Source organism: Homo sapiens, chromosome 7 (assembly GCF_000001405.40).
Source record: "Homo sapiens chromosome 7, GRCh38.p14 Primary Assembly".
Lineage (NCBI taxonomy): Eukaryota > Metazoa > Chordata > Mammalia > Primates > Hominidae > Homo > Homo sapiens.
Window position 1 is genome coordinate 74342191 of NC_000007.14, and position 26909 is coordinate 74369099.

The following is a 26909-nucleotide window of genomic DNA, read 5'->3' on the forward strand; positions in this document are numbered from 1 at the left end:
TATGTTGAAACCCTGTCTCTACTAAAAATACAAAAATTAGCCGGATGTGGTGGCACGTGCCTGTAGTCCGAGCTACTCGGGAGGTTGAGGCAGGAGAATCGCTTGAACCTGGGAGGCGGAGATTGCAGAGAGCCGAGATCACGCCATTGCACTCCAGCCTGGGTGGCAGAGCGAGACTCTGTCTCAAAAAAAAAACAAAAAAAAAGAAACTGAAAAGAGCAGGGAGGCTGAGTGGGCAGTGGGGGAAGCCAGGGAAAGATCACATCCCAGAGGCTGACCTGGGTGACCCCACAGGGCCAGGGACCTGGGATGGAGCCAGGGCTTTGCTCTAAGAGCTGAGGTAGCCATGGAAGCTGCAGCTGTGTGACAGGTTCATGGGTTAAGGACATCACACCTGCTGCTTGGTGGGGATGGGATCGGAGGAGGCAAGAGTGGAGCAGGGGCCGTGTGCGGTGGCTCACACCTGTAATCCCAGCATTTTGGGAGGCCGAGGTAGGCGGATCACTTGAGGTCAGGAGTTCAAGACCAGCCTGGGCAACATGGTGAAACCTCACCTCTACTGAAAAATACATGGTGGCCGGGCGCGGTGGCTCACGCCTATAATCCCGGCACTTTGAGAGGCTGAGGCAGGCGGATCACGACGTCAGGAGATCGAGACCATGGTGAAACCCCGTCTCTACTAAAAATACAAAAAATTAGCCGGGTGCAGTGGCGGGAGCCTGTAGTCCCAGCTACTCGGGAGGCTGAGGCAGGAGAATGGCGTGAACCTGGGAGGCGGAGCTTGCAGTGAGCCAAGATGGTGCCACTGCACTCCAGCCTGGATGACACAGCCAGACTCTGTCTCAAAAAAAAAAAAAAATGGTGACGGGCGCCTGTAATCCCAGCTACTCAGGAGGTTGAGGCAGGAGAATTGCTTGAACTCAGGAGGCGGAGGTTGCAGTGAGCTGAGATGGTGCGGCTCCACTCCAGCCTGGGCAACAGAGCAAGACTCCGTCTCAAAAAAAAAAACAAGAAAAAAACCCAGAGTGGAGCAGGAACGGCAGGGCCCAGGAAGGAGGCTGGACTCCTGGACCCCTGCACCATCCTGTCCAAGGAACTTGTTTTGGGACCGTCACTCTGCTCTTCCTCCTGTGGCTCCCAGGAAAGCCAACCCCATCCAACAGGACCTGGGCAAACAGCTTAGTCTCCCTGACCTGTCCTTCAGGATCTCCGGGGTCTGTGGGCACCTACTGGGGGTGGGTACAGCAGGGAAATCAGGCCCAGGTCTGTGATATTGGGCAAGTCACTTACAGAGCCTCATCTTCATTCATTCATTCATTCATTCATTCATTCTCCATGTGTCTGTTCAGCAAAATGGCCATGGCCCAGCACTCTTGTTTTGCTTTATGCTTTTATGGAGAGCATTAAGAGAGCTGATGGCAGCCGGGCACGGTGGCTCGTGCCTGTAATCTCAGCACTTTGGGAGGCCAAGGCAGGCGGATCACTCAAGGTCAGGATTTGGAAACCAGCCTGGGCAACATAGCAAGACCCCGTCTCTACTAAAAATACAAAAAAAAAAAAAAAATAGCCGGGCATGGCGGTGCATGCCTATGCTCCCAGCTACTGGGGAGACTGAGGTGGGAGGATCACTTGAGCTCAGGGGGTCAAGGCTGCAGTGAGCCACGATGGGACCACCGCACTCCAGCCAGGGTGACAGAGTGAGACGCTGTCTTAAAAAAAAAAGAGAGAGAGAGAGAACTGGTGGATGTGAGGATGAGTCATAGTCTGCAAGGAGCTATGGCTGTGCACAGTCTGACTAATGTCGTGGGAGTGCCCTGGGCATGGGCCTGTGACCCTGTTGGGGTGGGAAGTGGAGGCTCTGGGGGTTACTGACCAGCCCAGATTGCTCCCTGGATTGGGGAGCAGTAGGTTTAACCCTAGTTTGATCCCGCCTGGCATTCCCTCTGCACCTGCTCTCCCTGCAGGGAGTAGATGCTTCTGACCATCTCTGGGTGTGGTGTGCAAGAGAAGGGCATGAGGTGGGCACTGCCACTGCCCTAGAAGTGTCTGCTAAGCCCTGGCCTGTCTGCAGGGTTGGCAGCAGCAAGGGGGCTGGGCTATCTTGACCTTAGCTTCTCAATCTTTAAGTAGATTGCATCCTATGGTTGAAACACTGCTTTCTGGGAGGGCATACCTCACACTGGGCACTGTGCCTAGCATGGTTTTTTTTGAGACAAGGTCTTGCTCTGTCACTCAGGATGGAGTGCGGTGGTGTAGTCATAGCTCACTGCAGCCTCAAACTCTTAGGCTCAAGCGATCCTCCTGCCTCAACTTCTCGAGAATCTGGGACTACAGATGTGCACCACCATGCCTGCCTAATTTTTTTAATTTTTATTATTTATTTATTTTTTTTGCAGAGATGGGGGTCTCGCTACATTCCTCAGGCTGGCCTCAAATTCCTGGCCTCAAGCGATCCTCCTGCATCAGCCTCCCAAAGTGCTGGGATTACAGGCATGAGCCACTGAGCCCAGCCTAATCGAGGATTTAGGCTAGGGAAGAGAAAGGACATTCGAGGTTGGAATTACAGAGCAGCAGGATCCAAGACTGATTGTGTAGACAGAGTGGCAGAGACCTGGTGCCAGAGAGGAGGGGCTGAGAAAGCAGTCCCACCTGAAGGCCAGAGACCAGAGAGAACAACCCAGTCTCACAGACGGGCCTCCATGGCAGAGACACCAGGGCCCTACCCAAGGAGGAGACAGAGGAGGGTGGGATCTGGTCTGGAATCAAGCCCAGCTGGGATTGAGAAGGCCACAGAGTGTAGTAAGAAGAGGTCCACCTGTCTCTTTCACTCCCTGGCTACTCTGAACTTCAGTCTCTTCTTCCATGAATGTGGTAACAGTACCCGCCTCATGGAAATGTCAGATTTGGAATTCTTGTCTTTCATGTGCCAGGCACATGTAGTTGGCCCTAGGAGATGGTGGGACAGGAGCTAGTTTTAATTGGGGAGCTGGATTTACTTAGGCACAATGAGGCATACTTGGGGTGTCAAGAGAAATTAACATTTTATTTCTTTAATTTTTTTTTAGACAGAGTCTTGCTCTGTCGCCCAGAGTGGAGTATAGTGGCGCGATCTCGACTAACTGAAAACTCTACCTCCCAGGTTCAAGCGATTCTCGTGCCTCAGCCTTCCAAGTAGCTAGGATTACAGGCATGCGCCACCCACCTGGCTAATTTTTGTATTTTTTAGTGAGACAGGGTTTCTCCATGTTGCCAGGATGGTCTTGAACTCCTGGCCTCAAGTGATCCACCCACCTCAGCCTCTTGAAGTGCTGGTATTACAGTGAGTCCAGAAGTAAAATGAAATTAACATTTTAGAAAGTCATAGGCCAGGCATGGTGGCTCATGCCTGTAATCCCAGCATTTTGGGAGGCTGAGGGTGGGTGGATCACCTGAGGTCAGGAGTTCGAGACCAACCTGGCCAACATGGGGAAACATGGGGAAACCCCGTCTCTGCTAAAGGTACAAAAATTAGCCGGGCATGGTGGCAGGTGCCTATAATTCCAGCTACTCAGGAGGCTGAGGCAGGAGAATCGCTTGAACCCGGGAGGCGGAGGTTGCAATGAGTTGAGATCCTGCCATTGCACTCCAGCCTGGGCAACAAGAATGAGACTCTGTCTCAAGAAAGCAAGAGAGAGAGAGAGAAAGAGGAAGAAAGAAATATTTAGGTTCAGATAAACATGGTAAATAAACATACACATTTATTTTCAATCTCTCCTGAATTTGCACTAGAACAACACTGAAGAGATGTTTGGGTTTTTTCTTTTTTTGAGATGGCTTCTTGCTGTGTTGTCCAGGCTGGAGTGCAGTGGCATGATCCTAGCTCACTGCACCCTCAAACTCCTGGGTTCAAGCGATCCTCCCAACTCATCCTCCTGAGTAGTTGGGACTACAGGTGTGTGCCACCACACCCAGCTAATTTCTTAATTTTTTTTTGTAGAGAGGGGTCTTGCTATGTTGCCCAGGCTGGTCTTGAACTCCTGGGCTCAAGCAATTCTCCTTTCTCAGTCTCCCAAAGTGTTGGGATTACAGGTGTGAGCCACCACATGCAGCTATGAAGATAAATTTTTTTAAAAGAGCTAGTGGTAGGGGAAGAGGAGAAGCAATCAGTGTCCATCCGGAAACCCTAGATGTTCAGTAACTGGCCGCATGTTGGCCTCTAGAAATGAGGCTGCCACTGGGGCCAGGAACAGAATTGGTTTAAAAGTCTTTGCATCTGGGCACAGTGGCTCACGCCTATAATCCTGGCATTTTGAGAGGCCAAGGTGGGTGAATCACTTGAGGCCAGGAGTTCAAGACCAGCCTGGCCAACATGACAAAACCCCGTCTCTACTAAAAATACAAAAGTTAGCTGGGTGTGGTGGCGCACGCCTGTAATCCAAGCTCCTCAGGTGGCTGAGTCAGGACAGTCACTTGAACCTGGGAGGCAGAGGTTGCAGTGAGCTGAGATCACGCTGCTGCACTCCAGCCTGGGAGACAGAGTAAGATTCTCAAAAAAAAAAAAAAAAAAAAAAAACAAAACACTGGCCATGCACAGTGGCTCACACTTGTAATCCAAGCACTTTGGGAAGCTGAGGTGGGAGGATTGCTTGAGCCCAGCAGTTCCAGACCAGCCTGGGCAACAGAGTGAGACCCTGTCTCTACAAAAAAATAAAAAATAAAATTATTCAAGTGTGGTGTCGCATGCCTCCAGTCCCAACTACTCAGGAGGCTGAGGAGGGAGGACTGTTTGAGCCCAGAAGTTCGAGGCTACAGTGAGCCATGAATGCACCACTGCACTCCAGCCTGGGTGACAGAGGGAGACCCTACCTCTAAAAACAAAACAAAACAAAAAGAAAAACACCTTAGATCCCTTGCCCCGTCCCCGTTCCTGCCTTGCCTGATGACTACTCGTTGCCTGGTGACTGTTCCCCTTGCCTGGTGACTGTTCCTCTAGCTGATGTCTGGTATGGACACTTGGTCTCCTGAGAGGATGACAGAGAATTATTGGATAGAGGGGTCCCAGGCAGGAGGGACTGAAAAAGGTAGATGAAGTGAACATGTGTATTCTTTTTCTTTTTAAGATGGAGTCTCACTCTGTCGCCTAGGCTGGAGTGCAGTGGTGCGACCTCAGCTCACTGCAAGCTCCGCCTCCCGGGTTCACGCCATTCTCCTGCCTCAGCCTCCCGGGTAGCTGGGACTACAGGTGCCCGCCACCACGCCTGGCTAATTTTTTGTATTTTTAGTAGAGATGGGGTTTCACTGTGTTGGCCAGGCTGGTCTCGATCTCCTGACCTCGTGATCTGCCCGCCTCGGCCTCCCAAAGTGCTGGGATTACAGGCGTGAGCCACCGCGTCCGGCCAAACGCGCTGTACTCTAAGTCCCCCTTACCCCCACGCGGCTCCCTGAGCCCTGGCGGCCACGCCTACTCCCTCTACAATGGAGATTACAGGAAACTTCTCTGGAGAAAACAGCTGGTCCTCTGAGAAATAAGAGAAGGTGATACAGGCATTAAATATGAACAAAAACGCCACTGAATATGTGACTATGAATATTCATGAGCATGAATATTCATGTTGTATAAATATTCAGCTCTGGGAAATGAAAAATATCACAGAAATAAGAAACTGCACAGAAGTGTTAGAAGATAAAGATAAGAAAATATTTCAGGAACTAGAACAGAAAGGAAACAGCCCAGGGGCGGGGGCTCACACCTGTAATCCCAGCACTTTGGGAGGCCAAGACGGGCGGATCACTTGAGGTCAGGAGTTCCAGACCAGCCTGGCCAACATGGTGAAACCCCATCTCTACTAAAAATACAAAAACTAGCTGGGCGTGGTGGCAGGTGCCTGTAGTCTCAGCTACTCGGGAGAATGAGGCCGTAGAATTGGGAGGCAGAGGTTACAGTGAGCCGAGATCATGCCACTGCACTCCAGCCTGGGGAACAGAGTGACTCCATTTCAAAAAAAAACAAAAACAGGAGCCAAAAGAGAAGAACATTAGAGAACCTATTTACAGAAAAGAGGAATGGAGAAAAAGGAGGGGAGAAAATCAAATAATTAATTCAAGAAAATTCCCCAGATTGATAAGGGTGTTTCTTGATTGAAAGGGCCCCTAGGAGCCCAGGACAGTGGATGGAAAAAGGCTCACATCAAAGCACCTCATTGTGGCTGGGTGACGTGGCTCATACCTGTAACCCCAGTGCGTTGGGAGGCTGAGATGGGAGGATCCCTTGAGCCTAGGAATTTGGGATCAGCCTGGGCAACATACTGAGACCCTGTCTCTTAAAAAAAGAATGAGAGGGCCGGGTGCGGTGGCTCACGCCTGTAATCCCAGCACTTTGGGAGGCCGAGGCAGGTGAATCACAAGGTCAGGAGATCGAGACCATCCTGGCTAACACGGTGAAACCCCGTCTCTACTAAAAATACAAAAAAATTAGCCAGGCATGGTGGCGGGCGCCTGTAGTCCCAGCTACTTGGGAGGCTGAGGCAGGAGAATGGCATGAACCCAGGAGGCGGAGGTTGCAGTGAGCCGAGATTGCACCACTGCACTCCAGCCTGGGCAACAGAGCGAGACTCTGTCTCAAAAAAAAAAAAAAAAAAGAATGAGGGTAGCAAGAGAATTCAAAACAGATGTTCACACAAAAACTTGTACAAGTAGGTCAGGCGTGATGGCTCATGCCTGTAATCCCAGTACTTTGGGAGGCCAAGGCGGGCAGATCACTTAAGCTCAGGAGTTTGAGACCAGCCTGGGCAACATGGTGAAACCTCGCCTATACAAGAAAAAATTTAAAAAAATCTTGTACAAGAATATTCATAGCAACATTATTCATAATAGCCAAAAAGTGGAAGCAACCCAATTGTCCATCAACAGATAAATGGACAAGCACAATGCATTCTGCCCATGCCATGGGATACTATTTGGCCACAAAACGAATGAAGTACTGGTCGGGCATGGTAGCTTACGCCTGTAATCCCAGCACTTTGGGAGGCCAAGGCGGGCAGATCACAAGGTCAAGAGACCGAGACCATCTTGGCCAACATGGAAAAACCCCGTCTCTACTAAAAATACAAAAATTAGCTGGGCGTGGTGGCACGTGCCTGTAATCCCAGCTACTAGGGAGGCTGAGGCAGGAGAATCACTTGAACCCAGGAGGCAGAGGTTGCGGTCAGCTGAGATCGTGCCACTGCACTCCAGCCTGGCAACAAAGCGAGACTCTGTCTCAAAAAAAAAAAAAAAAAAGTATGTATGTGTGTGTGTGTGTGTATATATATATATATATATATATATATATATATATATATATGTAAATAAAAATTAAAAATCAGTGGGGTAGTGATACCTGCTGCAATATGATTGGACCTTGAAAACATGATGCTAAGTGAAAGAAGCCAGACACAAATGGCCACATATTGTGTGATTCCATTTCCTTTTGAGATAAAGTCTCACTCTTGTCACCCAGGCTGGAGTGCAATGGCACAATCTCGGCTCACTGCAACCTCTGCCTCACAGGTTCTCCTGTCTTAGCCTCCGGAGTACCTGGCATTACAGGCGTGCACCACCACGCCCCGCTAATTTTTCGTATTTTTAGTAAAAATAGGGTTGCACCATGTTGGCCAGGCTGGTCTTTAGCTCCTGACCTCAAGTGATCCACCTGCGTCGGCCTCCCAAAGTGCTGTGATTACAGGCATGAGCCACTGCACCCAGCCGTGTGATTCCATTTCTATGAAGTGTCCAGAAGAGACAAATCTGTAGCGATAGGATAGAAATAGACTAAGGGTTGTCAGGGGCTGTCAGGAAGATGGAACAGGCAGTGATTTCTCCTGGGTATGGGGCTTCTCTTTGGGATGATGGTTATTATTTTTTGAAATGGAGTCTCACTCTGTCACCCAGGCTAGAGTGCAGTGGCGCAATCTCAGCTCACTGCAACCTCCGCCTCCTGGGTTCAAGCGATTCTCATCTCAGCCTCCTGAGTAGCTGGGATTATAGGCGCCCACCACCACGCCCAGCTAATTTTTATATTTTTAGTAGAGATGGGGTTTCACCATGTTGCCCAGGCTGGTCTCAAACTTCTGAGCTCAGCTGATCCACCCACCTTGGCCTCCCAAAGTGCTGGGATTACAGGTTTGAGCCACTGTTCCTGGCCTGTATGTTTATTTTTTATTGTTGTATTTTATTTTTTATAGAGATGAGGGTCTCACTATATTGCTCAGGCTGGTCTCAAAGTCCTGGCCTCAAGTGATCCTCCTGCCTCAGCTTCCCAAAACACTAGGATTACAGGCATGAGCCACCATCTTTGGGCCCTATATGTTTTAAAATGGTTAAAATGGTAAATTTTACATTATGTGAATTTTTACCTCCATTAAAAAAAAGAGTGAGCCAGGCACAGTGGCTCACGCCTGTAATTCCAGCACTCTGGGAGGCTGAGGAAGGAAGATTGTTTGAGGCCAAGGGTTCAAGACCAGGCTGGGCAACATAGTGAGCTCTCATCTCTACTAGAAAATGTTCAAAAATTAGCTAGGTATCGTGGTGTGTTCTGTAATCTCAGCTACTTGGGAGGCCAAGGCAGGAGGATCACTTGAACTCAGGAGTTCAGGCTGCAGTGAGCCATGATCGCACCACTGCACTCCAGTATGGGTGACAAAGTGAGAGCCTGTTGAAAGAAAGAAAGAGAGAGAGAGAAAGAAGGAAGGAAGAAAGGAAGGAAAGGGAAGGGAAGGAAGGGAAGGAAAGGAAGGAAGGGAAAGAAAGGAAGGAAGGGAAGGAAAGGAAGGAAGGGAAGGAAGAGAAGAAGGAGAGAAAGAAAGAAGGAAGGAAAGGGAAGAGAAGGGAAGGAAGGGAAGGAAGAGAAGAAAGAAAGAGAAAGAAAGAAAGAAAGAAAAAGAAGGAAGGGAAGGGAAGGAAGGGAAGAAAGAGAGAGAGAAAGAAAGAGAGAGAGAGAGAGAGAAAGAAAGAGAATAAAATATTTTGGCCAGGCACGGTGGCTCACGCCTATAATCTGAGGCAAGCACTTTGGGAGGCTGAGGCAAATGGATTGCTTGAGCCCGGAAGTTTGAGACCAGCCTGGGCAATGTGACGAAACCCCATCTCTACAAAAAATAGCCAGGCGTGGTGCCCTGTGCCTGTAGTCCCAGCTACTTGGGAGGCTGAAGTGGGAGGATCGCTTGTCCAGGAGGCCAAGGTTGTGGTGAGCCGAGATCACGCCACTGCATTCCAGTGTCAAAAAAAAAAAAAAAAAAAAAAGAATAAAACATTTTCAGATATAGAAAGCTCGAAAATTTACCTCCTCGTGCATCTTTTCTTAGAAAGCTGTGGGAAGATGTGCTCTACTAAAATAAGTAGTAAACCAGCCAGACGTGGTGGCTCACACCTGTAATCCCATCACTTTGGGAGGCTAAGGAGGGCAGATCACCTGAGGTCAGAAGTGCGAGACCAGCCTGGCCAACATGGCGAAACCCCGTCTCTACTAAAAATACAAAAATTAGCCGGGCATGGTGACAAACGCCTATAATCCCAGCTACTCCGGAGGCTGATGCTGGAGAACCGCTTGAACCTGGGAGGCGGAGGTTTCAGTGAGCGGAGATCGCGTCATTGCACTCCAGCCTGGGCGACAGAGTGAGACTCCGTCTCAAAATAAATAAATAAAATAAAATAAAATACAATAACATAACCTAAAATAAGTAGTAAACCAAGAAAGAAGAGTCAGGGGATCCAGAAAACAGGAGCAAGCCCAGGACAGAGGTGAAATGGTTGACAGGAGACTCCAGGCCAATGGCCGCACTCCAGAGAGGCCAGCAGCCAGCCCAGCTGGGAGTGGGTCCCGGGAGAGACATCTTCAGAAAGAACTTGATAAAATTCCCAATGCCTCTGAGCATCTTGGCAGGAGATTTAGACTATTGAAAGAGTTGGGGTTGAATTAGTATTGAGACTATTAAAACTAGGCAGACAGGCCAGGTGCAGTGGCTCACACCTGTATCCCAGCACTTTGGGAGGCCAAGGCAGGTGAATCACTTGAGGTCAGGAGTTCGAGACCAGCCTGGCCAACATGGTGAAACCCCATCTTTACTAAAAATACAAAAAAATTAGCCGGGCATGGTGGTGCATGCCTGTAGTCTCAGCTAATCAGGAGGCTGAGGCAGGAGAATCACTTGAACTCGGGAGGTGGAGGTTGCAGTGAGCTGAGGTCGTGCCACTGCACTCCAGCCTGGGCGACAGAGTGAGACTCTGTCTTAAAACAAAAACAAAAACAAAAAAAACACTAGGCAGACAATCATCAAAGATAGTTATTTATAGGAAAAAAAAATTTCTGGAAAGGAAAAGTAACTACAATACATCATCCTCATCTATGAGTACTATCTACTTAGTCATAGTACTGCAATCCTGGAGTCAGATCAAAATTTAGATATGGAATACAAAAATTAGCTGGGCGTGGTGGCGCGCACCTGTAGTCCCAGCTACTCAGGAGGCTGAGGTAGGAGAATCAACACTGTCTCAAAAAAAAAAAAAAATTTTTAGATATGGACCAGGTGTGGTGATTCACACCTATAAATCCCAGCCCTTTGGGAGGCTGAGACAGGAGGATTGCTTGAAGCCCGGAGTTCCAGACCAGCTCAGGCAACATATCAAGACCCTGTGTCTACAAAAAATTTTTAAAAACTTAGCTGGGTGTGGTGGCACATACCTATTGCCCCATCTACTCAGGAGGCTGAGGCAGGAGGATTGCTTGAGACCAGGAATTTGAGACCAGCCTGGGCAACATAGCAAGATCCTGTGTCTACAAAAAATTTTTTAAAAACTTAGCTGGGTATGGTGGCACACACCTATAGTCCCAGCTACTCAGGAGGCTGAGGTGGGAGGATTGCTTAAGCCCAAGAGTTTGAGGCTACAGTGAGCTATGATTATACCATTGCACTCCAGCCTAGGCAACAGAGCAGGACCCTATCTCAAAAAAAAAAGAAAAAGAAAAACTGCTTTTAGGGTTACCATTTATTGAAGCTCTAGTATATACTAGACACCGTATATACAGTACTTAATTCTCACGAAAACCCTTTTTTTTTTTTTTTGACTCAGAGTCTCGCCCTGTTGCCCAGGCTGGAGTGCACTGGCGCAATCTCGGCTCACTGCAAGCTCCACCTCCTGGGTTCATGCCATTCTTCTGCCTCAGCCTCCCGAGTAACTGGGATTATAGGTGCCCACCACCAGGCCCGGCTAATTTTTGTATTTATAGTAGAGACGGAGTTTCACCATGTTGGGCAGGCTGGTCTTGAACTCCTGACCTCAGGTGATCTGCCCACCTTGGCCTCCCAAAGTGCTGGGATTACAGGCATGAGCCACCATGCCCAGCCCCGAAAACCCTTTTACAGATGAAGATGCTGAGGCTCAGAGAGGTTAGATAACTTGCCTAGGCACACACAGCTTCTAAGTGACAGAGTTTGAATGCAGGTCTGTGTGTCTGTCTTCAAAGCCTGTGCCCTTGCCTGTGTCAGCCCTGGGAGGCACTGGTTAACCTGTCTCCATCTCAATCATCCTTAGGTGTCTCTCCCTCCCCACTCCTGGCTCCCGTGTCCTCTGCATGCTGGAAGGGATGGATGGGATAAGCCTGGGCTGGGTGCCCCTGCCATCTCTGCCTGTGCCACTGCATCCTCTAGACCTGAGTCTCCCTGTGTGCCGACAGGTTGGCGGGACGAAGACTGGCGTGGTGCGGTACGTGGGGGAGACAGACTTTGCCAAGGGCGAGTGGTGTGGCGTGGAGCTGGACGAGCCCCTTGGGAAGAATGATGGGGCGGTGGCGGGCACCAGGTATGGTGGGCTTCTTCTGGGGAGTATGGGAGGGGGCTCCTCTCCCCAGGGTGGGCGCAGGGGATGGAGATGGGACATTGGAGGAAGCGAGTGTCCAGCATGTAGTGTCAGACACCATAAGTCCTTTCCCATTCCCTCCTTCCCAACAGCCCACTAAGCTGGGTAGTGGGATTATCATCCCATTTTACAGATGAGAGTATGGAGGCCAGGAGGTCATTGTTCAAGGTCGCACAGTCACAGGCAAGCGCCAAGAGAATCTGTCCCCGTGTTCTCTTCTTTGTGTCACTCATGTCTAAGTGGGGTGGGAGCCCTCAAAAAGGAGAGGGAGGCTGCGTGCAGTGGCTCATGCCTGTAATCCCAGCCTTTTGGGAGGCTGAGGCAGGTGGATCACTTGAGATCAGGTGTTCGAGACCAGCCTGGCCAACATGGTGAAACCCCGTCTCTACTAAAAATACAAAAAATTAACTGGGCATGGTGACACACGCCTGTAATCCCAGCTACTTAGGTAGCTGAGGCACGAGAATCACTTGAACTGGGGAGGCGTCGGTTGCAGTGAGCCAAGATCGCACCACTGCACTCCAGCCTGGGTGACAGAGTGAGACTCTGTCTCAAAAAAATTAGCCAGGCATGGTGGCATGCACCTGTAGTCCCAGCTACTTGGGAGGCTGAGACATGAGAATTGCTGGAACCCGGGAGGCGAAGGTTGCAGTGAGCTGAGATCACGCCATTGCATTCCAGCCTGGGCAATAGAGCAAGACTGTCTCAAAAAAAATAATAAAAAATAAATAAATAAATAAATAAAAGGTGAGGCAGCAGTCCCTGTCATCTGGCATTGGGGTCCCCTGAATGACACATGAAATAATCAGACAATGCCCAGCGCTATATGGCCAGAGGCAGGCCTCACAGATGGGTTCCAGGTCTCACAGCATCTCTGATGAAAAGGAATTGACTGCTGGCGTTGCTGGGTTAGGAGGGTCTAAGGCTGTGTCTGGGCTTATGGTAGGTGGGGGAGTGATGTGGTAAGTGGACCATGTCTGTCACGGATGTGGACTAAGGTGAGGCCACCTGAGTCCCTGTGCAGTCCCTGTACTGGAGTCTGTGGTTGAGACGAGGCTGTGACTGCTTTGAGCAGGAGTGGTCACCATGGCACAGGGGAAGAGCTAGGCTTGGACCAGGCCTCGAAAGAAGGTAGGGTTTCCTTTTGGAAGAGGCTTGAGAGAGGCTGTGCTAGGCAGGGGCTGAGAGCACAGTATGAACAAAGACCTGGAGGTGGGAAAAGGCAGAATGGGGCAGCGGTTTCAAGTGAATCAGAAGCTGGATGGGGGCCAGGCATGGTGACTCATGTTTGTAATCCCAGCACTTTGGGAGGCTGAGGCTGGAGGATCACTTGAAGCCAGCAGTTAAAGACTAGTCTGGACAATATAGCAAAACCTCATCTCTACAAAAGATACAAAAATTAGCTGGGCGTAGTAGCACACACCTGTGGTTTCAGCTACCTGGGAGGCTGAGGTGGGAGGATTGCATGAGCCCAGGAGGTTGAGGCTGCAGTGAGCTATGATCGCACCGCTGCACTCCAGCCTGGGTAACAGAGCCAGACCCTGTCTCGAAAGAAAGAAAAAAACTGGATGGGCCCAGTTCTCGTGGTCCAGTGTGGAATCCGTGACCAGAGAGGTCTTGACAGAAGACGAGAATCCAGGGTTTCCATAACAATGCTTTGCCTTCCTGTTTGCAAGATGAATGTTTCTTTTGACTCACTTTTGCTTTCAGAATTCAGGGGTGGGTTGGACAGCAGTCCCCATCCCACCCCAAGGTTTCTCTTTCAAGCTTTTGCTTCTCTATGCAGGGATTCTGTGGGCAGAGAGCTGATGGGAATCCTTCATTCTGGGGATGGTCTGAGGGTAGCCTGAAAGTGGGGCTGCAGCTGTGGCTGGGGTCTCTGAACAGTCTGTGGGAGCCAAGCTTAGCGGGTGTTGGAGCCCAGCACACTGGAGGACCAGTCTCAGCTTTGCTGCGTAACCAGCTGTGTGACTGTGGGCAAGTTATTTAACCTCTCTGAGCCTAAATTTTCTCATTTGTGAATGTAGATAACTTTGGGGGATGGAAATGAGCATTCATTTAAAGAGACTGGCACAAAGTGGGTCCCAGTAATTATTTCCTACTTCCAAGAGTATTCTCATTGGCTGTTCACAGCTGCAGAGACTCTCAGACCCTACTCACCTATATCCTTTTTTTGAGAGTCCTATCTCTCCACCTGGAAGATTTCCACCTTGGAGTGTCTTTCCACATGGGCCCCAAGGAGGTGTCTTTCTCTCTTTCTGCCAGGCTCTGAAGAGGCAGAGGAGGCAGGGGAGGCTCTCCAGGCTTTGGGGCCGTGACAGCAGCTTGGGTCTCTCCTGCTTCCACAGGTACTTCCAGTGCCCACCCAAGTTTGGTCTCTTCGCGCCCATCCACAAAGTGATCCGTATCGGCTTCCCATCTACCAGCCCAGCCAAGGCCAAGAAGACCAAGCGTATGGCCATGGGTGTGTCAGCACTGACCCACAGTCCCAGCAGTTCCTCCATCAGCTCCGTCAGCTCTGTGGCCTCCTCCGTGGGGGGTCGGCCCAGCCGCAGTGGCCTGGTGAGGGTGGGGCTGCAGAAGGGGATTCTCTGGTGTGCGTTTGGGAGGGGTGAGGATGTAAGAGATCCAGGTGTTCTGGTCTGCCCCTGACTTACTCTAGTTCCAGTTTGGGATTTTTGAACAAAGAAGAAAGTGCATATCTTTTAATAGGGAAAATTGAGCCATTTACCTTTATTGCTGTTTTTATATAACTGATTTATTGGAACCCTAAGCCTTTCTCTGGAAGTTAAGGAGGGTTATACAGATGCAGGGCAGGGAGTTCAGAAAGGTTGGCATCAAACCCTGGATGAAGGGAAAAGAGGAGGCTGCTTGGTGGCTATGGGCAGAGGGCATTCTGTCCAAACCCAATCTAGGATTGGAGGTTCCTCCTTTCCCAGGAAAAAGTGGCCAAAGTGAGGGAGTCAGAGGCTCTGGCTATCAGGAGCTGACTCTCCTGAGATGGGGAGTTTCCTGAATCTCAAACATCAAGATTCCCCGCTGGGTGAGTCAGCAGGGGCCAGGATGTCAGAGTACTGGCAGGGGAAGAGCAGGACCCTGGGAGTCAAGGCACTTGGGCTCCCACCTGCTATGTTGCTGTAGATTAGGCTGGACAGAGCCAGTCTGCCCTGCAGTGCTTCAGATCCCTGAGACCCGCCTGCATCCACACCTTCCTGCAGCTCACGGAGACCTCTTCACGCTACGCCCGCAAGATCTCGGGCACCACGGCCTTGCAGGAGGCACTGAAGGAGAAGCAGCAGCACATTGAGCAGCTGCTGGCTGAACGAGACCTGGAACGGGCTGAGGTGGCCAAGGCCACAAGCCACATCTGCGAGGTGGAGAAGGAGATTGCCCTGCTCAAGGCACAGCATGAGCAGGTGAGTGGCAGGTGGGGCTGGGGGCAGAGCTTCTCCAGCCAGCCTCATAGAGTCTCACCCACTCAGAGCGGAGACCCTGGAGGGGGTGGGTGCAGAGAAATATGAAGATAACACAAGCAGTACCTGTCCCCCGCTTTCCAGAGATAAGCCTCAGTGACCTGGTGAATTTCCTTCCAGTCTTTTCTGCCTATGTATAAGGATACATACACCTACTTTCAGAATCTGGTTACAAGCTTGTATATCCTGCTTTTTAATTATTTATTTATTTATTATTTTTCTTTCTTTCTTTTTTTTTTTTTGACGGAATCTCATTCTGTCACCCAGGCTGGGGTGTAGTGGTGCAATCTCGGCTCACTGCAACCTCCACCTCCTCGGTTCAAGCGATTCTCCTGCCTCAGCCTCTTGAGTAACTGGGATTACAGGCATGTGCCACCATGCCCAGCTAATTTTTGTACTTTTAGTAGAGACGGGGTTTCACCATGTTGGTCAGGCTGGTCTCGAACTCCTGACCTCGTGATCCACCCGCCTTGGCCTCCCAAAGTGCTGGGATTACAGGTGTGAGCCACTGCAAGGGTTTTTTTTTTTTTTTTATGAGACAGAGTCTCACTCTGTTCCCCAGGCTGGAGGGCAGTGGTGCAATCTCAGCTCACTGCAACCTCCACCTCCCAGGTTCAAGCGATTCTCCTGCCTCAGCCTCTCAAGTAGTTGGGATTACAGCACCTGCTACCAAACCAGGCTAATTTTTGTATTTTAAGTAGAGATGGGGTTTCACCCTGTTGGTCAGGCTGGCCTGGAATTCCTGACCTCAAGTGATCTGCCTGCCTTGGCCTCCCAAAGTGCTGGGATTACAGGTGTGAGCCACCATGCCCAGCCCTGCTTTTTTATTTTTTTAAAATATTTTTAATATAGGGATGGGGTCATGCTGTGTTGGTCAGCCTGGTCTCGAACTCCTGGCCTCAGGCAATCCTTGGCCTTCCAAAGTGCTAGGATTACAGGTGTGAGCCACTGCACTTGGCCTAATCTGCTTTTCTTCCCCGGCTACTTATTATACTGCAAGCATTTTCTAGGTCCTGGCAAATTCCTCATCATTCTTTTTTTTTTTTATTTTATTTTTTTCTTTTAGAGATAGGGCCTTGCTTTGTTGCCCAGGTTGGAGTGCAGTGACGCCATCATAGCTCCACTCCTGGGTTCAAGTGATCCTCCCACCTCAGCCTCCTGAGTGGCTGGGACTATAGGTGCACGCTACCACATCCAGCTAAATTTTGTATTTTTTTGTGGAGACGGAGTCTTGCTATGTTGCCCAGGCTGGTCTGAAACTCCTGGCCTCAAGTGACCCTCCCACCTTGGTCTCTCAAAGCACCGCGATTATAGGCATAAGCCATCGTGCCCCACCTCTTCCCCATCTTGATGTCTGCATTGCTGTCTATCACAGGCTTTGTCCTTACTGACATCTGACGTGACTAGTCCCCTGTTGTTTAGATTATTTCCCATTTTTCACTTTTTTTGAGACAGAGTCTCGCTCTGTCACCCAGGCTGGAGTGCAGTAACACGATCTTGGCTCACTGCACCCTCTGCCTCTGGATTCAAGCAATTCTCCTGCCTCAGCGTCCTTAGTAGCTGGGACTACAGGTGTGTGCCACCACGCCCAGCTAATCTAATTTTTGTATTTTTAGTAGAGAAGGGGTTTCACCATGTTGGACAGGCTGGTCTTGAACTCCTGGCCTCAAGTGATCAGCCCGCCTCGGCCTCCCAGTGTACTGGGATTACATGTGTGAGCCACCGTGCCCGGCCAATTTTTCACTCTTTCTACATATCACTGCAGTAAACTTTTTTTTTTTTTTTTTAATGTATGACTGTCTACATTTCAGGTTTCTTTTTTTTTTTTTTCTTTTTTGAGGCAGAGTCTCGCTCTGTCGCCCAGGCTGGAGTGCAGTAGTGTGATCTTGGCTCACTGCAAGCTCCGCCCCCCAGGTTCACGCCATTCTCCTGCCTCAGCCTCCCAAGTAGCTGGGACTACAGGAGCCCACCACCACGCCCAGCTAATGTTTTTTGTATTTTTAGTAGAGATGGGGTTTCACCATGTTAGCCAGGATGGTCTCAATCTCCTGACCTTGTGATCCGCCCGCCTTGGCCTCCCAAAGTGCTGAGATTACAGGCAGGAGCCACTGCACCCGGCCCATTTCAGATTATTTTTTTGAGCAGATTCTAGGGTTGAATTTCAGGAAAGTGACTCCTTGCCCCAAGCCTTGGGGCTGCTGCTATCTCGTGTCTGGTTTTTTCTCTGATGTTTGTCTCCCGTGGGAGAGTTCCCTTCTGGGCCTCTGTCCCCATCTGGGGTCTGGCTTGCCCCTCCTTGGATGCCAGGATCAATAGGCCAAGTTCATGGCTGTGCTTTGATGGAGCACAGACAAGACAGCAGGTTTGCAAGATAACAGGTCTTAGGCTCTTGTGGGTTGAGGCGGGAGGCAGGTACTGAGGGCAGGTGGGCCTAAGGGTCCTGCCTCTGCCTCTCTTGTTCCTACTGGGTCCCCTCCTTCACACCTAGGCCCACTGTGCATGCCCGGCAGGTGCCAGCAGGGAAGTTGGGGTGACTGGGGTTCCAGGCCCTGCTCCTTGCCTGTCTCCCACCACACCACCAACCTGGACCCCATACCCCGGAGCATGCTGACCCTGTCCTGGCCTTCCTTGGGGGCCCAGTATGTTGCAGAAGCCGAGGAGAAGCTGCAGCGAGCCCGGCTGCTCGTGGAGAGCGTGCGGAAAGAGAAGGTGGACCTGTCCAACCAGCTGGAGGAGGAGAGGAGGTACGTGCTGGCCCACCCTCGCCCTGGCCCTGAGTCCCCTTAAGGAGGATGAGGAAGAGGGCAGGCTTGGGAATAGCGGACCCAGGTTCCAGTCCTGCCCCTGTCACTGCCTCTGGCTGTGTCACCCTGGACTGGTGACATTAACTCTTGGGCCTCAGTCTTCCTATCTGTAAAGTGAGGTGTTGGTCCTGTCTTCTGCAGGCAGTTGGGAGAACTCTTCATATAACTGGAGTAAAGCACCCAGCACGGTGCCGGGCACAGAGGGACACCACATTTTTAAAAATTTTTTTGAAACAGGGTCTCACTCTGTCACCCAGGCTGGAGTACAGAGCCACAATCACAGCTCACTGCAGCCTTGACCTCCAGGGTTCAAGTGCTCCTCCCACCTCAGGCTCCTGGGTAGCTGGGACCACAGGCGTCCCCCACCACGCCTGGTTAATTTTTGTATTTTTTGTAGAGATGGGGTTTTGGCACATTGGCCAGGCTAGTCTCGAACTCCTGACCTCAGGCTATTCACCCGCCTCGGCCTCCCAAAGTGCAGGCATGAACCGTTGTGCCTGGCCTTGGAACACCGCATTTGTTCATTGCATAGAGTTCACTGTTCCTGCACTCTCCAGCAGAATATTGAGAAGAGGAATAGGCTGGGGGTGGTGGAAGGGAGGCTGGTTATCACACCAGGTGTCCCTGGGGAGCCGTGCACCAGGAAGAAGGCTGAATGCCCCACCCCTCCACCATGAGCCAGTTCACACTCACAGTGCGCCCCTCCCCAACCCTGGACTGAGACCTGTGAGTGGAGCTCACAGCTCCTGTCCTGGGAATCCATTTCCCCTTTTTTCCCTCCCTCCCTCCCTCCATTCATTCCTTCCTTCCTTCTTCCCTCCCTCCCTCCCTCCCTTCTTTCCTTCCTTCCTTCCTTCCTTCCTTCCTTCCCTCCCTCCCTCCCTTTTTCTTTCTTTTTTTCAGAGTCTTGCTCTTGTTGCCCAGGCTGGAGTACAATGGTGCGATCTCGGCTCACTGCAATCTCCACCTCCCAGGTTCAAGCAATTCTCCTCCCTCAGCCTCCCGAGTAGCTGGGATTACAGGCATGGCCACCAAGCCCTGCTAATTTTTGTATTTTTAGTAGAGATGGGGTTTTACCATGTTGGCCAGGCTGATCTCAAACTCCTGATCTCAGGTGATCCACCTGCCTCAGCCTCCCAAAGTGCTGGGATTACAGGCGTGAGCCACCGCGCCCAGCCTCCTTTATTTTTCTTTTTTGAGACAGGGTCTCACTGTGTCACCCAGGCTGGAGTGCAGTGGTTTGGCCATGGCTCACTGCAGCCTCAACCTTCTGGGCTCATGCGATCCTCCCACCTCAGCCTTCCAGGTAACTGGGACTACAGGCACACGCCATCATGCCCAGCTAATTTTTTGTATCCATTCTCATTTTACACATCAGGAAACTGAAGTTAAGAGAAACAGCAGCCAAGGGACTCCTGAAATGCCCTGTGTCCAGGTGTCAGCCCTGTGCTGTGTGCTTCGCTGGTGTCATCGCTTTCAAGGCCAGATGCAGTGGTTCATGCCTGTAATCTCAGCACTTTGGGAGGCCGAGGCAGGCGGATCACCTGAGGTCAGGAGTTTGAGACCAGCCTGGCCAACGTGGTGAAACCCTGTCTCTACTAAAAATACAAAAATTAGCTGGGCATGGTGGCAGGTGCCTGTAATCCCAGCTACTCGGGAGGCTGAGGCAGGAGAATCGCTTGAACCCAGGAGGTGGAGGTTGCAGTGAACCGAGATCACACCACTACAGTACAGCTGGGTAACAGAGCGAGGCTCCGCCTCAAAAAAAAAAAAAAAAAGTCACAAGTGGGACCCATCTCCCCTGCAGCCCTCCAACCAAAGACACCAGGCGGTGGGGACTCTGGCCGACTTGGTCCTGGGTCACCTCCTTGTAGGACACAAAGCTGACAGTGGACAGAGGTTTGCCTTGGCCTGGGATCCTCTCTACCTCCTAGATGATGCCCAGATACCTACATCTCCCTCCCCTGTCCCCAGGCAGCAGCCAGCCCCCATCCCCAACACCCCCACTTGGGTCTGTTCTGTGGGCTTTCAGCTGGCACCTGCGCTCCATAAGCTGTTGTTACTGTCGGATTCAGGGAGATGAGGGTGTATTTATATTTGCCTGAGACAGCCATAGTGGCCTACACATCTGGTTCCCATGGCGATGTGCCTGACGCCAACAAACACAGATCTTTTTTTCTTTTTCTTTTCTTTTTTTTTTTTTTTTTTGTTTCTTTAGACAGAGTCTCGCTCTGTCACCCAGGCTGGAGTACAGTGGTGTGATCTCGGCTCACTGCAACCTCCACCTCCAGGTTCAAGCAATTCTCCTGCCTCAGCCTCCCAAGTAGCTGGGACTACAGGTGCGCATCACCATGCCTGGCTAATTTTTATATTTTTAGTAGAGACAGGGTTACACCATGTTGGCCAGGTTGGTCTTGAACTCCTGGACTCAAGTGATCCACCCGCCTCGGCCTCCCAAAGTGCTGGGATTATAGGCAGGAGCCACTGTGCTCAGCCACAAACACAAGGCATCATGGAGTTTTGTTCAGAAGGGGCCTGGGTGCAAGTCTCTGCATTGTCCTGTGCTTGCTGTGTGGCCTTCGGCAGGTCGCCTGCCCTCTCTGGGCCTCATTCCTCATTGCTATGCCGAGAGCTGTTAGGAGGCCCTAGGAAGAGCAGCTTTGAGCTTTTTTTTTTTTCCCCCAAGATGGAGTTTCGCTCTTGTTGCCCAGGCTGGAGTGCAATGGCACGATCTCAGCTCACCGCAACCTCTGCCTTTTGGGTTCAAGCCATTCTCCTGCCTCAGCCTCCTGAGTAGCTGAGATTACAGGGATGCGCCACCACGCCCCGCTAATTTTGTATTTTTAGTAGAGACAGTTTCTCCATGTTGGTCAGGCTGGTCTCAAACTCCCGACCTCAGGTGATCCGCCCACCTTGGCCTCCCAAAGTGTTGGGATTACGGGCGTGAGCCACTGCAACTGGCCCAGCCTTGAGTTCCTATGTGTGGCTGTAAGGTGGGGTGGGCCTGTGTCTCTCCCCTGCGCTGTCTTGACAGGTGTGTGACAGAGTGTGTCTCCCTGAGGGTAGCCCTGATGCCTGGGCATTCCACATCCAGGGGCAGCCCTGGGAGTGGGGATTGGGTCTCTGACCCCCAGTTTTGAGGCCTGTGATGAGAACAAGATCAACAGCAAAGGAAGCCCACTTTCCTTCTCTCCTTTCCTTCCTCCCCACAGGTTGTTCCTTGTGGTAGTGTCTGTTCCCCGCAGTGATGAAAACAGTGTTGTCAGCTGGGCGCGGAGGCTCACGCCTGTAATCCCAGCACTTTGGGAGGCTGAGGTGGGCAGATCACTTGAGGCCAGGAGTTCGAGACCAGCCTGGCCAACATGTTAAAACCCTGTCTCTACTAAAACTACAAAAATTTTTTATTGAGGTTGCATGCCCAGTGATGTATGCCTGTAATCCCAGCTACTCAGGAAGCTGAGGCAGGAGAATTGCTTGAACCGTGGAGGCAGAGGCCTCAGTGAGCCGAGATCACACCAATGCACTCCAGCCTGGGCAACAGAGCGAGACTCTGTCTCAAAAAAAAAAAAAAAAGGGAGGGAGGAAGGAAGGAAGGAAGGAAAGAAAGAAGGAAAGAAAACAGTGTTGTCACTCACATCCCCGGGCCACCCTGCCCTTTATTTTATTTCCCACCACCCTGGGGAGGAAGGGTGTTGCCTTAAACACTGCCATTCTGGAGTTATTGGTGGTTCTTCCTAGAGTGCAGGTCAGCAGGTTGGGAGGTCTAGAGCTTTCCAGGACTGTGGGACATTTTGATGGCCTCGCCTCTGGATTCTGGGCCATTCTCATGGCCTTGCCTCTCTCTGCTGTTGCTCATTCGGTGAATCCCGTTGCTCTGGGCAAAGCCAGGTCAGCCACCTCTTTCCCTCCCCTGCAGGAAGGTGGAGGATCTGCAGTTCCGCGTGGAGGAGGAGTCCATCACCAAGGGAGACCTGGAGGTAACAGTCAGAGGCCCCTTCCCTGGGCACACTTAGCACCGGTGCCTGGCCCTTGCTAGGGCAGATGGTTGTGAGGTCCAGCAGCACCTCTAGGCCCCCCCGGGGAAGGGGCTGGGGGGGAAAATGGGGAAGGATCAAAGGTCTGATGTCTGAGGTGTTAGTGGCTCAGCCCCAGGAGCCCCCCAGGGAAGCTGTGCTCCCCGTGTCAGCAGCTGGATGGGGTGGGCAGGACGAACCCAGGGCAGGGCAGATGGGGGGCTGGGCCCCAGGATAGAGTGGCTGAGGTCCCCTGTCCCTTCTTCTTAGGCAATAGCCCTAAAGGTGCCCCTTCGTTCATCTTGGATTCCAGGTAAAATTTTGGCTGAAAGTAGCTTGCTGAGTCACAGAATTTATAGGTAGGAAAACTGAGGCTCAGAGACCAAGGGAGCTGGGTATGGTGGCTCACACCTATAATCCCAGCACTTCAGGAAGCCAAGGCAGAGGATCACTTGAGCCCAGAAGTTCAAGACCAGCCTGGGCAACGTAGCAAGATCCCATCTCTACAAAAAATTTAAAAAGTTAGCCAAGCATGGTCATGTGCACCTGTGGTCCCAGCTACTCAGGGAGGCTGAGGCTAGAGGATCGCTTGAATCTGGGAGATGGAGGCTGCAGTGAGCTATGATTGCGCCTGTTTTTTGTTGTGTGTGTGTGTGTGTGTGTGTGTGTGTGTGTGTGTGTGTGTGTGTGTGTGTGTGTGACTGTCTCAAAAAAAAGAATGGATGTTGGGGCACAACCCAGCGTCAGAGCCTCAGCCCAGCTCAGCATGTTCTAATTAAGTTTCCCTCTTGGCCAAGGGGCAGGCCATGTGGTTGCTCCTGGCTGACTTTTCCATTGGCAGTTGCTCTCCTGCAGGGGTTGGATGGACTTCTGGGAAAAGCACCTGTATTTGCCAGGAACAGAGACCCCCCTGTGCCAGCTGCAGTCACCATGGGGGCTTACTGAAGGGCTGTAGGAAAGGTCACAGCCTCCAAGGGCAGGCATTTCAGGGGACTGGAGCCAGAAACAGCATCGGGAGCTAAGCCCATCCATGTGCCCCTTACTCAGGGTCTCCTTCCGATCTGTGTCTGAGGTCAGGCTCCTCCTGTCTGTTTCCCACTGTGTTTCTCGGCTCTGCTCTTCTCCCAGCCCCGCCCACTACCTACCAGCTGTCATTGAGAGAGGCTCTGATTGGTCCCAGGGATAGCCAATGGGCTGGCTGGCTCTGGATAGGGGTCCACCCCGGATCCAGCCGGCCCTGGCTGGGAGAGGCAGGGGGCGGGACAGACAGTGACAGCTAAGTCAGTCCAAAGGGCTGCAGAATTCCCCATGCAACGTTTTATTGTAGCAAACTGAATTGTGATCATATTCATGGCAACCAGAAGGCAAAATGACCAAAGTCCCACTCATCCCCTCATCCCCACCCTTTTTTTTCTTTTTTGGAGACAGGATCTCACTCTGTTGCCCAGGCTGGAGTACAGTGGCACCATCTGGGCTCACTGAAGCCTCCACTTCCTGGGCTCAAGTGATGCTTTGCCTCAGCCTCCCAAGTAGCTAGGACTACAGGCGTGTGCCACCACACCCAGCTAATTTTTGTATTTTTTTTTGTAGAGGCTGGGTCTCACTATGTTGCCCAGGCAGGGTCTCGCTATGTTGCCCAAGTGGGTCTCAAACTCCTAGGTTCAAGCAATCCTGCCTCAGCCTCCCAAAGGGCTGGGATTACATGCATGAGCCATCACATCTGGCCCCCACCCATCTTAAAAGTCAGAAATAAAAGCCAGAGCCCCTCCTTGACCTCCTGGCCCCCTCCGCTTTATCACCCCACCTCTCTGCCTGTCTTTATTGCAAAACCCCCAGAAGGTTATCAGGCTCATGGTCTTCCCTCCTGTCCACACTGCCCCAACTACACAATGAGATGCCCCCATTCCAACTCCCCAGCCTCCTCTGCTGGCGTCTCCTCCTTCCTAATCTCTGAACATTGTCCCATCCAAGGGCTCAGTCCCAGGTCCGTTCACCCCTTGTCCACACTCACCCTGAGAGCTTCCAGTCTGTGGCCTCCATGCCCTGGAATGAGCCCCTGTAAGATCCACAGTCTTCCCCAAGCTCCCTGTACCATGCCCATTTGACATCTCCACCCAATTGAGGAAGAAGCAAGCACCTGTATCAATTTCCTGGGGCTGCAATAATGCACAGCCACAAATGTGTGGCTTAAAACAGCACAAACATATGCTTTCGCAGTTCTGGAAGCCAGAAGTCTAAAATAAAGGCTGGGCGTGGTGGCTCACGCCTGTAATCCCAACACTTTGGGAGGCCAAAGCGGCGGATCACTTGAGGTCAGGAGTTTGAGACCAGCCTGGCCAACGTGGTGAAACACCGTCTCTACTGAAAATACAAAATTAGCTGGGCATGGTGACGGGCGCCTCTAATCCCAGCTACTCCGGAGGCTGAGGCAGGAGAATCACTTGAAATTGGGAGGCGGCAGTTACAGTGAGCCGCGATTGCGCCACTGCGCTTCAGCCTGGGCAGCAGAGTGAGACTCCTTCTCAAAAAAAAAAAAAAAAAAAAAAAAGGCCTGAAATCAAGGTGTTGGAGAATCTATTCCAATCTAGCTTCCAGGAGGATTGCCGGCAGCCCCTGATGCTCCTTGGCCTGTATAACTGCATCAGGCCAGTCCCTGCCTCCTGTCACTTTGCTGCCTTGCCTGTGTGGCACTTTACTTGAACATCTTATGAAGACAGCAGTCACTGGATTTAGGGCCCACTCTAATCCAGTCCTAATCCAGTATGACCTCATTTTAACTAACTACATGTGCAAGACCCTATTCCAAAGAAGGTCACATTTGTTCTTTATTTTGTTTAAAAAAAATTTTTTTTTTTTTGAGATGGAGTCTCGCTCTGTCACCCAGGCTGGAGTGCAGTGGCGCAATCTCTGCTCACTGCAAGCTCCCCTTCCCGGGTTCATGCCATTCTCCTGCCTCAGCCTCCCAAGTTGCTGGGACTACAGGCATCCACCACCATGCCCGGCTAATTTTTTGTATTTTTAGTAGAGACGAGGTTTCACCGTGTTAGCCAGGATGGTCTCAATCTCCTGACCTCATGATTCGCCCGCCTCAGACTCCCAGACTGCTGGGATAACAGGCGTGAGCCACCATGCCTGGCCTATTTTGTTTAATTTTTATACAGATGGGTTCTCACTATATTGCCCAGGCTGGTCTCAAACTTCTGAGCTCAAGCGATCCTCCCACCCTAGCCTCTCAAAGTTCTGGGATTATAGGTGGGAGCCACCATGCCTGGCTAAGGTCACATTCTGAGGTTCTGAGTGGGCATGAAATTTAAGAAGTCACTATTCAACCCAGGACCACAGCCCAAATTGAACATGTCCTAACCACATCTATCCAGGCCTCCCCTAACACCACCCCCCTTACGGTTCCCATCTCAGATATTGGCCCCCAAATCCACACAGTTGGCTGGGCATGGTGGCTCACACCTGTAATCCCAGTGCTTTGGGAGCCTGAGACAGGAAGGTTGCTTGAGCCCAGGAGTTTGAGACCAGCCTGGGCAACATAGCAAGACCGTGTTTCTACAAAAATATTTTTTAAAAATGCGGGCATGGTGGCACATGCTTGTAATCCAAGCACTTTGGGAAGCCAAGGCGGGAGGATTGATTAAGCCCAGAAGTTCGAGACCAGCTTGGGCAACATAGGGAGACCTTGTCTCTACCCAAAATGGAAAAATTATCCAGGTATGGTAATGCATGCCTATGGTCCCAGCTACGCGGGAGGTTGAGGTGGGAGGATCGCTTGAGTCCGGGCAGTTGAGGCTGCAGTGAGCTGTGATCACACCACTGTACTCCAGCCTGGGCAACAAAGCAAGAGCAAGACCTTGTCTCAAAAAATAAAAAATAAAGGCCGGGCGCGGTGGCTCACGCCTGTAATCCCAGCACTTTGGGAGGCCGAGGTGGGCGGATCATGAGGTCAGGACTTTGAGACCAGCCTGACCAACATAGTGAAACCCCGTCTCTAGTAAAAATACAAAAACTTAGCCGGGCCTGGTGGTGGGCGCCTGTAATCCCAGCTATACAGGAGGCTGAGGTAGGAGAATCGCTTGAACCTGGGAGGCGGAGGTTGCAGTGAGCCGAGATCGCGTCATTGCACTCCAGCCTAGGCGACAGTGCGAGACTCCATCTCAAAATAAATAAATAAATAAATAAATAAAAATAAATAAAATAAATAAAAAATAAAAAACAAAAAAAGTCCTTTTGACCTTACCTCCAAAATCATGCACATCCGCACAGCTGCTTCCCTGGACCAGGCCCTAGCACCATGCCATGGATAGCCCTCTCCTTCGTCTTCTGTTCCTCCAAAGTCCATTCTCCACACTGAATCTAGTCTTTTTTAAAAATATCGTTTTCATTTTTAATGTTGGAAATTTTTAAGCCTATACAAAAATAGAGAAGACAGTATAATGAACTTTCATTTACCCATCACTCAGCTTCAACAGTCATCAACTCACCGCCAGTCTTATTTCAGCCATGCCCTGACCCAGGGCCCCCTCCCACATCCCAGACGTCATATGGCCAAATATTTTTAAAATGTAAATCAGGCCGGGTGCAGTGGCTCACACCTGCAATCCCAATACTTGGGAGGGAGAGGTGGGAGGGTGGTCACTTGAGGCCAGGAGTTAGAGACCAGTCTGGGCAGCATAGTGAGACCCCATCTCTACAAAAATTAAAGTATTCTGGCTGGATGTGGTGGCTCACGCCTATAATCC

The 26909-nt window shown here is 51.0% G+C and overlaps 1 protein-coding gene across 3 annotated transcripts in view, besides 2 other annotated features; it reads left to right on the top strand.

The window, feature by feature from the left end:
- Positions 1–26909, top strand: part of CLIP2 (CAP-Gly domain containing linker protein 2) — a 116529-nt gene that overhangs the window by 52784 nt on the left and 36836 nt on the right. For all 3 annotated transcript variants that reach the window (NM_003388.5, NM_032421.3, XM_047420800.1), the window contains exons 4-8: positions 11690–11814; positions 14220–14433; positions 15090–15287; positions 17985–18088; positions 22065–22125. In NM_003388.5, coding sequence (NP_003379.4) covers positions 11690–11814; positions 14220–14433; positions 15090–15287; positions 17985–18088; positions 22065–22125 — 702 coding nt within the window. The remainder of the gene's footprint in view (positions 1–11689; positions 11815–14219; positions 14434–15089; positions 15288–17984; positions 18089–22064; positions 22126–26909) is intronic.
- Positions 21773–22644: an enhancer, noted in NCBI's record as "H3K4me1 hESC enhancer chr7:73778293-73779164 (GRCh37/hg19 assembly coordinates)". NCBI's record gives its function as "activates a minimal SCP1, AML or CMV promoter by ChIP-STARR-seq in primed H9 embryonic stem cells {active_cell/tissue: H9 hESC(primed)}" and the evidence as "EXISTENCE:reporter gene assay evidence [ECO:0000049][PMID:30033119]".
- Positions 22645–23514: an enhancer, noted in NCBI's record as "H3K4me1 hESC enhancer chr7:73779165-73780034 (GRCh37/hg19 assembly coordinates)". NCBI's record gives its function as "activates a minimal SCP1, AML or CMV promoter by ChIP-STARR-seq in naive H9 embryonic stem cells {active_cell/tissue: H9 hESC(naive)}" and the evidence as "EXISTENCE:reporter gene assay evidence [ECO:0000049][PMID:30033119]".